The sequence below is a fragment of the Homo sapiens genome, chromosome 2 (genome assembly GCF_000001405.40).
Source record: "Homo sapiens chromosome 2, GRCh38.p14 Primary Assembly".
In the NCBI taxonomy this organism is placed as follows: Eukaryota; Metazoa; Chordata; class Mammalia; order Primates; family Hominidae; genus Homo; species Homo sapiens.
The window spans coordinates 50,609,530-50,620,505 of record NC_000002.12 but is presented as its reverse complement, the minus strand read 5'-3'; the positions used below and the strand labels follow the sequence as shown (position 1 = coordinate 50,620,505).

Below are 10,976 nucleotides of genomic sequence, written 5' to 3'. Positions count from 1 at the left end.
CTAACACCATTTTTGTGTCTGCTCAATAACTTTTGAGTTGCAGTAGGGATGATGCTGACACTAGTTCAATAATCAGTTAACTCTCTAACTAGTTTAGATCTCTTAGGGCTAGTTGAATAGAATCTAAGAATAAACCTCAAACAGACATGAAAATGGGTTCCGTCATAGGTCTAAAAACAAAAACCAAACAAACAGAAAAAAAGAAAAAAGCAAAACAAAACAAAACAAAAAAACAAAAGCAAAACACAAAACAGGCATATCCCAGGATTACAGTATCTAGGTCTGAGTATAGCGTGTCCTTTCCCTGTGCTTTGTTATCTAGGTGACAATATCAGTGGATGGGATTCTTACCACAACGGGCTACACGCAAGAAGATTATACCATGCTGGGGTCTGATGACTTTTTCTATGTTGGAGGCAGTCCCAGCACAGCCGACCTTCCAGGGTCACCAGTCAGTAACAACTTTATGGGCTGTCTCAAAGAGGTAAATATCGTTGCCATCAGAATCATTCCTAATTCATGGTCTCATCATTTCAGATCCAGCATGAAAGCACCTTTGCTGAAGACCCGATGTTCCAGAGTCAAACGGCACAACTTTAAATTCAATATTCTACTATTGTTTATGTAGGATTGGGGGAGGGAAACAGCTCATAGATCATTATGAAGGAATTAGGTTCCTCTTCTTTATTAGTCTGTAAGTAATTTACATTTGAGATTTGTGTGGACAGTTGATATTAGCTATAAAAGAAAGTCAAACAAAAAGAGATACTGGGTCTAAAGTTGAGCTAAATGGTTTACTTGCTTATTTCTACTTAAATGCCATAGGTGTTATGCATACAGTGATGACTTTTTTGAGTATTAAAAGAAAAAAGAAGAAAAAGCAATTAGCCTATAGGAGAAGCAACGACTATGTAATTCAAAACAAAACTAAAACAAAATAAGTCTATATAATGACATAATTTTCTTCCCTTATTTTCAACACATTCTGGAGGAAGTAAATGTTATCTGGTGAATTTACTTGATATTTATCTGAGCAAGATCATCAAACTAAATGACATCAATAATTTCATCCCTCATTATCAGCTGTAGTTGTGTATTGTAACTTTGTATAAGATTGGAATTTGTTGGGTTTTGGGGAGAGAAAGATGAAGAAGTCCCTGAATTTCATTTTTTAATGAATATTTTCCATAAAAGCTGTCTTTAAAAAAATTCATTCAGACACAATCCAATTTCTTTGGGCTACTGGAACCAGAGGTTCCTCTTACATTGTATGCCTACAATTTAATGGTGTAGATTTCTAAACATCAAAGTTAAATAACTTTGAATTCACTGTTAGCCATAGGTGCTGTTGGTAAGCAGTGATGTACTTGGTTTATTCTGAAGTAAATAATTTAATCATATAAACTTGATTCAGTTAAGCATTAGGGAAAAACAATTACTACTGAATTATCCTTCCCTGTCTTCTCTTTATGTGAACATACTGGTTGATTTGTTGCCCAGTATGTGGATGTATATAGAATAATCCTAAGGGAGATTTAAAGGTGCAATAGTTTTAACAAACATGAAGAGGTGCAGTTCTGAAAGGCCAAACCTACCCATGCTTTGTAGTAGGAGTGATAGATTGCCTTTCAGAAAGTAACTTTTACTGGTTACAAATATGTAGTATGATCCAGGTTTGTGTTAAGCTCTGTAGAGGATGATAATCTAATTATTATTATTATTATTTATTATTATTATTATTATAGTACTAATATTTCCAGAGCTGTTATTTTGTGCTATTATAAGAGCTTTACAGGAATCCTCACAAAATAGGTAGACATTTTATTATCTGCATGTTTCAGACAAAGAAACTGAGGTTTGAGGCAGGTAAGTTTCTTGAGGAAGGTCACACAACTAACAAGTATGAAAGTCTAAATCTTAATCGAGGAAGTCTGATTTCAGTGTCCTTGTGCTCTTAACTACCATAGTTAAGAGCCCTTTTGCAAGAGAAATGTTTGTTAGAGTTCCTAAAAGATTGTACAAACTCTCAAATTTGTTACAAACTAAAACAATGTTTACAAATGAATAATAGACTGTGAGGAATGAATTATTAAATTATTTAACACAGTTATTTGATTTAAAAAGAGGGTGAGATGAGTGAGAGTTCTAGAAGACAAGGAGAGAAACACAGAAGAGTCAGAATATGAGCATCTCAAACAGTGACTAATTTAGACAGGCAGGGATGGAGAAAGCATATCAGGTATGGTAAAAGAATAATTAGATATTTTTAGAAGATTTCTGAAACTCCATTCTAGGGATGGAAAGTGGAGGGCAGAGCCGCATCCCCAATCACCTGTACCAACTTCCTCATTTTCACTGTGAGCCAGGCCAGGTATAATCAGTCCCTACATCCTGCTTTATACAGAGAAGAGTAATCCTGCTTAGATTGGAAAAAGGAAGGGGAATCGAGGGAACTCTAGCAGAAATGGGAATCTAACTAAAGAACTCTTGGGCATCCAAATAATAATAATAGTAATTCCTGCAGGGAATCCTTGAGTTCAGCTGAGACACATAATCTTCTGATAATTCTGCATAAGTGAGGCAGTTTTTTTCTGTGTGTGTATAAAACTGTAGTTAATTGCCTTAATCTAAAATAACAGTTTCAAATTAAACCGTGCTTCAGATTAACACCTCTAATTTATGAATTGATAAATAAAGATTCCTTACCTTAGTATTCATTTTTTTTTATATTGGCCTTTTAACCAGAAAAACCACAATACCAAAAAATAAGTTAGGTGGTCTTCCAAGTGACATGTTAGTTCACAGTGGCTAAACTCATAAAAGGAGGATTCACTTGTGCTGTTGTCACTATAGGGTTTGGATACAATTCACTCTTCTTTATTGATTGGACACTTTCCAACTCTGTCTTCCCCATCTGGGGTGTGTGTCTGAGGAAGCACGGTCACTTTTTTCTTGACTTGTGTAATCTTTTTCATTTTACTTCTTCTGATGCACTGGAGTTTGGAAGGATATCAGCACAATTAATCTATAAATCAAAACATACCTCACTTGGAGGGCTTTTTTTTTTTTTAAGAGATGGAGTCTTGCTCTGTTCCCCAGGGGAGTGTAGTGGCATGATCTCAGCTCTCTGCAACCTCCACCTCCTGGGTTCAAGCAATTCTCCTGCCTTAGCTTCCCAAGTTAGCTGGGACTACAGGCATGCACCACCACACCCAGCTAATTTTTGTATTTATAGTAGTGACGGGTTTCACTCTATGTTGGCCAGGGTGGTCTTGAACTACTGACCTCAAGTGATCTGCCCGCCTTGGCCTCCCAACGTGCTGGGTGTCGTGGTTCATGCCTGTAATCCCAGCACTTTGGAGGGCTTTTTAGTTGTTGATAGTTTCCATCCTGTCTGAACCATTATCTATTTAGAAGGCCCTGCTCTTGTTACTTCTGAAATGAAATAGTGACAAAGTATCATGGATTGTGAGTTAAATCACCCTACTTCAAATAGGTCAGCTTTGTGAAGTTACTGAAAAGAGAGGGATATACCCATGTTCATTCTCACAGAATCTCTCTTAACAGTAAAATCTATGTAAATTTTCCTGAACTCTAGCTTGGACTTCCTGGTCGATAGCACACTGCATGTGTAAACCCTTAATTATGACTTCATTTATTGGCTGATGGCATTTTTATTTTCAGTCTAGTATGTAGTGCCTCTTAGCATAACCAGTCTTGAAGGAGATTCTAATAACACCTTGTCTGAAGTCATGGAAGAAATTTTGGAGTGTTAGAATGGAAAGGATCCTGGAAATCATTTTCTAAGTTCAACTTTCTTCCTTTGGGGAAACAGACCTAGAGAAGTTACTTGACCAAGAGTAATAAGGGGGTCCAGCAGGATTAGAATACAGAACCCTATCAAGGAAAATATAATATTTAAATGGCCGATTCTATTTCATTGTAAACAATGGCATTCAAGGCATAAAAATATCACTCTCACGAATTTACACATTTATTCTTTACAGATTAAAGAAAAAAAAGGAAATCACTCAACATATTGAAACAACCTATAATCTCATATTCCTTAGAAGCAACTTAGGTCTTTCCCTATATGGCATTTAATAATGTCTATTTGAAATGAGACTTTGCTTGCACGTAGAACAACTAACCCTCAATTGGAAAGTTACTTTTGTGTATGTGATTATCAAATTTCAAAATAAAATAAGATTAGCTCAAAATAATTTGGTAAAACCTAACCTGAACTTCATATGGTGCTTTGTTTAAAATGACAAGGAACTTTGAATGGCCGGGAATTCAAATAGAGATCAAAGTAGTTTTTTTTAAATAATTCATATTTTCATCACAAGTAAATCAAAGTCTGGGAAAATATCTGTACTCATTGAAAAATGACTCACAGGTTTAAATTTGAAAAAAAAGAGTTAAAGAAAAATTATAAATAATAAATTGCCATTATATGCAGCCCATACCTATGAAATTCTTAGAAGATAATAGGTCTTTAAAAAAATATGCTTTCTAAATCTGATTTTTGCAAAGGCAACACTGTTTTGACAGAAATACTTGTTTATATTATTTGCATTTTGATAACACTGAGTAAGAGCTGAAATATATGTTGCTTAAGAATTTTCGATCATTTTATATTTAATTAAATTTTCTAACAAGCAGTTTTTGAGTGACTGCTACAAAAGGAGAGGAGGTTAGAAAATCTTGCAGAAAGAGAAATCATGGTGTCTGAGATGCTCAGACTCTATGAGGACATCTTGCCCATTTACCTTAGACCACTTGGAAAGCATTTTCCTGTAGAAAAGTCTTACAGTTAATTCTTCAGGTGCTCACTAGATATATTTTAAGAATCTTTAAAGATAGATGAAAATCTCACTAGTATGTGTTTCTATCCCAATATTTTCATCGTATAAGTGTTTCTGTAGTCACTGACCTATCAGGAAGGGTCATGGCGCTCCCTCATTAATCTCCCCCTCAGAACCTGTTCCTGCAATTATTATGCATTTCCTGGTCTCTTTGTGCCCCCGAAATGCTCTGAAATGCTTATTTCCCTCCTGCAGAGTGAACATTATTTAACGTAGTTTGTTAGTAAGGAAATGAAACTGAAGAGGTAGGAAAGGACTGTGTGTTAAATAAAACAACCTAGAATCCTTTATTTGAAGTTTGTTTTTAGTCATATGTACCTGCTGGAGGTTTTACAATCAGAGTGGAGACACTGCCTGTGTGAGGTAACTTAGAATGCTGCCACTAAAAATTGCTCAGATTAAGCCTAAGGAAGTATTCTAGAGAGAGAGAAAAAAAATGAGTGAAATGCTAAGGGGAATGAAGTCCCACTGAAAATTTCATCAACCTAATTAGATCGGCTCAGCCTTTAATTACACTTAGAAACATTTATTGCCACAAATCTGGAAGATGCTACTGAGGTAGATGAGGTTTGGAAAATATCCTATCTTTTGTAAGCATTTTCCCTCACCTTATTGGTGAAAATGCTTGATTCCTTTCCTTGAGGAAAAAATGATTGATTCCTTAATGAAATCTGTGTGATCTCCTCTGCCATATGAAGTGCCCACATCACAGTGTACCAGCATCAACACTGGGAAAGAGATGAAATATTTCCTTCCTGCAAATGCCCCTTAATCCCTATCTTTCTTCTTTTGGACAACAGAGAAAGTTTTAGAAAGTTTTGAAGGCTTCTCAATTTATGCACTTCTGTGGTTGACCATCCTCATCAAATTTGGTTCCTCAAGTTTTTTTTTTTTTTTTTTTTTTGAATGGCTGATATTAGTTTAATAGGTTAATCTACTTCTACTTCCAAAAGGGGATATTCTGTTTTTTTTTTATTTTATATATATATATATATATTTTTATTATACTTTAAGTTCTAGGGTACGTGTGTACAACGTGCAGGTTTGTTACATATGTATACATGTGTCATGTTGGTGTGCTGCACCCATTAACTCGTCATTTACATTAGGTATATCTCCTAATGCTATCCCTCCCCGCTCCTCCCCTTTTTTGCTTATTTTCCTGTTTGCTCAGAGAGGAATAGAGTATCTGTCATTTACACGTAAGAACAAAATCTCATGGCAGAATTTGCATTCCAATTTATTCCAATTTTGGGATAAAAGGCTTTGGACCTGATGGATAAATTAACCTAGCAGGAACTTGGAGGAAAAAGAGATCTTCAGTGATGTCTGGAAATCATGCCAGATGAGAGGAGGGAGGGCTACTTTAGTTGGCAGAGAACTCACATGGATTCCAAAGTCATGATTAAACAATTTATCCCCAGGTTTTCATTTCCTCTAGACTTTTCCTTGTTGAGGTCCCTGACTTATTGCCTCTCTTCTCTTATTATTTTGTCATGGTCCATATACTGGTTGGTACCATTTTACAATTTACTTACATTGACCTTCCCATATGCCTCATCCCTCACTCTTTCGGGAAGACAGTTGCTTTTTGCTTTCCCACTTCACTTTTTCCTAAACATTTTCCATACAGATCCACATATTTTTACTTACCATATCATTATAGAACTATGGATAATACTACCTTGATTTTATGTGGTGATACATCTTCACTTATATGAACCCAGGCTGGAGTGCAGTGGCATGATCTTGGCTTACTGCAAGCTCCGCCACCTGGGTTCACGCCATTCTCCTGCCTCAGCCTCCCGAGTAGCTGGGACTACAAGTGCCCGTCACCATGCCCGGGTAATTTTTTGTATTTTTAGTAGAGACAGGGTTTCACCATGTTAGCCAGTATGGTCTGGATGTCCTGACCTTGTGATCCACCCACCTGGGCCTCCCAAAGTGCTGGGATTACAGGCGTGAGCCACCACACCTGGCCTGTATGAATCATTTTAAGATAGATTTTGCTAATGCCCGCAAGATTAATAGCCTATGAGAAAATGCAAAGAAGTCCCTTCACTCAAGTACTCATGCATTGGCCAGGCTGATACGCAGCAGATGCTCAATTTTTGACCAGTGGACTGACTGTGGCTACAGGCTAACTTTTATATTAAAAGTGTTTCATGTAGGATCAGTATGCACTATACAGTATGTCATTTTGTTGTGTCAGCTGGAATGGGCTGACTCACAAAGTAGCCATGTTCTAATAATAACAATAGTATATATTTGAGCTAAGTGCTCTGACTGTTCTATTCTGTACAGCCTAGTGAGCACTAGAGATGATGGCTTGGGGCTGAATGACAATTTTCTAGCTTCTCTGTGCTGTATTCCTAGAGGCAAGGTCTTGGTTTAGTGACTCAGAGAGAGGCTGGTTTAGCCCATCTAGAATAGGCAAATGGGCTTAATGTTTTTGGCAGAAGTTCAGGTATAGAAAGAAATTTTTTTTCTACCTGATTTAAAACATGGAAGATGATAGTTTTGCTTTGAAAACTTTAACAAGAAAGCTAGATGGGGTTTGTGGAAATGTCAAAGGCTTTGACAAATTCTTATGTGTCATTAACCCAGTTTGTTATAGGCCCAGCCTAGTTTCTTCTAGATCTCGGAAATATTGAAATGTATTTCAGTCCTTCTACTGTAATAGTGTCAGTACTTAAATGCAGAGGTCGATTACCCTTGCCTCCTTTCATGTGTAGAATAGTAGACTGCAAAAATCCTCCTTTCCTTTTAAAAGTCTTCACAATAACGCACGCAGGTTAATAATAATCATTCCCTTATGCAAATGAGAACTCATGAGACCTCAACAGAACACATGGCTGTGAGTGCCATCCCTGAGTTGATAGTCCTGTTAGTAGAGCACTTTACCTGCATCAGATCATTCAAACAAACCCCCATGGCATAAACACTGTAGTGCCTCAATGTGCCTATGATTGTACTAGGCTCTATACAAATGTACATGAAAAGTAGGAGCTTTTGCTGAAGGGGTAAGGGAGTCAGCATATTCCAGAGAAAGCATAATAATAACATATTAAGCATTTTTTATTTCTCATAAAATTTCAACAACATCCAGTGAGTTACCCAAGAGGCATGTGCCTGGGGGCATCAGGAACACAGTAAAACAACAACTTTGCAAAAACAAATCCATGAAACTGTGTGAAATAATTTGATACTTGGTATTTCAAACCTATCAGAAAGGGAGTAATGGAAGAAGAAGAAAAAAAACAAGTTTTTGGTGGATTTCTGGTATTTTGTCTTTACTAGCCCTTTTTTGAATACATTATGATTATTATATTGCAGAGAGGGATGCACCACCAGTTTCTCAGAGCTTCATAATTGCAAAGGTAATACTCTAAGCATGAAAAGAGGTACACATAAATACTATCCCTATTTGGCAAATGAAGACATGGAGATAGGAAAAGTGAAGTAACTGACCTAGGGGAAAATAATTAGTAAGTAACAAAACTAAGCTCCCACCCAAATAATCTGAGAGCGAAATCCTTGCCCGTAACTGCCACTCTGTGTTGCTCCCCGTATCATATTACAATCTCACTTCACTTCTCTCATTCTCAGTATTTTTATAAAGATAAAATTAGACGAAATGAGCTTCGTAGGAACCTTTAGGGAAAAGAAAACAGAAAAATGCAGCCTAGATTGCTGGGATGTCAGAGAAGGGAAGATCTGATTGGGGAGAAGAAGCAGCAGGAAATATTTCTCAGATGCCCAGTTAGTTATATATGAGCTTTCAGTGGAATCTTTCCCACTCCCCGGGTTGAATTGGTCTGGAGCTGTTACCTCTGTGAACCTCTTCCCTACTCTGGCAGCCTGCACACTTTTCCTCCTCTTAAGGCAAACTAAGATAATGCTTGCTTTATTTTCCATACTGTGTAGCCAGCCATACAAACAGGAATGCACAGAAAACACATTTGGAAGTACTTTCTAGATTTTTAGATTTTCTAAAGTATTGGCTCTATACATTGCTAAGGATAAGTTCACTTCTGTGCATTGTAGCCTTGGAGGCAAGGGAAATAAACAATTGGGGCAGAAACCAGGCACCTTGCCATAGACACTCCTCTTTGAAAGTGGATTCAGGGAGTCCCATCTGCTCAGGTCCCCAAGGAAATGGAACCCAGCTCTTCAGTCCACAAAGCATCTGGTGAGTTCTTGTCTGGAATTCAGCTTTTCAAACATAGAATCTTTCCTTTCCAGGGGACCCACAGATTTTTATTTCCCATCATTTTCAGCAGATGCCCCATAGCCTGGAACAGTATCAGCAGTTGGCATAATGAATTGTAGTGCTTTCAAATATCAAGCTAGCATAGCATGGTCTGTCAGGGGGTTCAGTGACATTTTAATTCTGAGGACTTGATACATTTTATAGAATATGACATTTTTCAGCCCAGTAGAAAGCAGCAATGAACAATGTCTGAGACTGAACATTTTCTCTTAATTTCAGCACCTACCAGAGCATCTTGTTTAAATTGCTCCATTTGCTTATGCATTAACACTTGCATGTGTGCATTATGTTAATCAACATTAAAACTATCTAGTATGGGCCAGGTGTGGAGTGGCTCATGCCTGTAGTCCCAGCACTGCAGGAGGCCAAGTCAGGTAGATGACTTGAAATCAGGAGTTCAAGACCAGCCTGGCCAACATGGTGAAATCCCATCTCTATTAAAAATACAAAAAATTAGTGAAACGTGCTTGCTTAAACCTAGGAGGCAGAGGTTGCAGTGAGCCGAAATCGTGCAATTACACTCCAGCGTGGATGACAAAGCGAGACTGTCTCAAAAAATATATATAAATGTATGTGTGTGTGTATATATATACATATATATATATATATAAATATAATTACAAGCTATGTTCTAGTAATGACTATAGTATATGGGCTAAGTGATCTGGCTATTCTGTTTTGTACAGATATATATATATATATATATATATATATATATATATGTATCTATTTATAGTATGTGCCAGGCTCTGTGCTAGACACTGGGGCACATAGATGAGTAAGATAATGCACTCAGGAATCTGGAGAGAGAGTTGGGCAAATAAGTATAGATTTACAATACAAGCTTCCTAAGTGAGGTATGAAAAATTTCTCTAATAATACAATGGAAGCTGTAATTAGCTTTGCAGAGGACATTAGTAATAATTTCAAAGACAAGGTAATCAAGTAATCTGAGTTTGTCTCTCTGCTCAGTTGTATACTGGGCATGATATTGTATGGGACTGAAGCTCAGTGAATTAGTTCCACTATCACAATTGGAAAAGAATAGGAAAGATAAAATGAGATGAAGGATCAGAAAACACATTGCTAAGAAAAAGAAAAACACCTTCATATAAATTTAAGTTTGTTACTTAACTAAGTTTGAGCCATATTTTTTAAAAATCTGAAGTTCATCCAAAACAAAATGAGTATTTTGGAGTTCCTCTTAATTTCTATTATGAGATGATATACTCTTGTCTTTAGATCTTTGGATCAAAGTCCTTATGTTTGGAAGGAAATTATTTCTGTGCATGTTAATTGGTGTCTTTTTTTCCCCAGGAAAATCATCACTCTTGAAACACATTTAAAACAAATTAATTGCTTTTAAATGAAAATAATACTCTTATTCCGAAGCATGTGATTTTGAATAATAGGAAAATGAGATTTTTATCTTTGTGGAGTAAATATTCTGTGCACAGAAAAATTGGTGACTGAGTGTTTAGTTTTATATATAGTACATGACAATGGACTATGTACCAGGCTCTCTGTGGAGTACTAGGGATATAAGACAATTAGGTTGACATAGGTCATTTAATCAAGGTCATAGTAAGTGAATTGCCCTTGAAATATGGACGTATTTTTGTGAGCCTAGGTTTCTAAATTTGAATTAAACAGGAATAACAATAACTTTTTATAGATAACTCATTGCATTAAATTAGTTAAGATGAATGGCTTTAGAATCAGACACTCCCAGATTCCAATCTTGGCTCCCTTAAACTTGGTAGTTGTATCACCTGAGGTAAGATAGTTGATGTTTCTGTGCTTCAGTTTCTTTCCCCTGTAAAGGATTAAGTGAG

The 10,976-nt window shown here is 36.6% G+C and overlaps 1 protein-coding gene across 15 annotated transcripts in view, besides 2 other annotated features; it reads left to right on the top strand.

Annotated features, from left to right (window-relative positions):
• Positions 1 to 10,976, top strand: part of NRXN1 (neurexin 1) — a 1,113,630-nt gene that overhangs the window by 411,627 nt on the left and 691,027 nt on the right. For all 15 annotated transcript variants that reach the window (NM_001330096.2, NM_001330087.2, NM_001330083.2 and 12 more), the window contains one exon: positions 323 to 484. In NM_001330096.2, the coding sequence (NP_001317025.1) occupies positions 323 to 484 (162 nt within the window). The remainder of the gene's footprint in view (positions 1 to 322; positions 485 to 10,976) is intronic.
• Positions 3,607 to 7,216: an enhancer, noted in NCBI's record as "VISTA enhancer hs1348". NCBI's record gives its function as "enhancer in: heart[4/8]" and the evidence as "EXISTENCE:transgenic organism evidence [ECO:0001131][PMID:17130149]".
• Positions 4,737 to 5,333: an enhancer, noted in NCBI's record as "OCT4-NANOG hESC enhancer chr2:50842311-50842907 (GRCh37/hg19 assembly coordinates)". NCBI's record gives its function as "activates a minimal SCP1, AML or CMV promoter by ChIP-STARR-seq in primed H9 embryonic stem cells {active_cell/tissue: H9 hESC(primed)}" and the evidence as "EXISTENCE:reporter gene assay evidence [ECO:0000049][PMID:30033119]".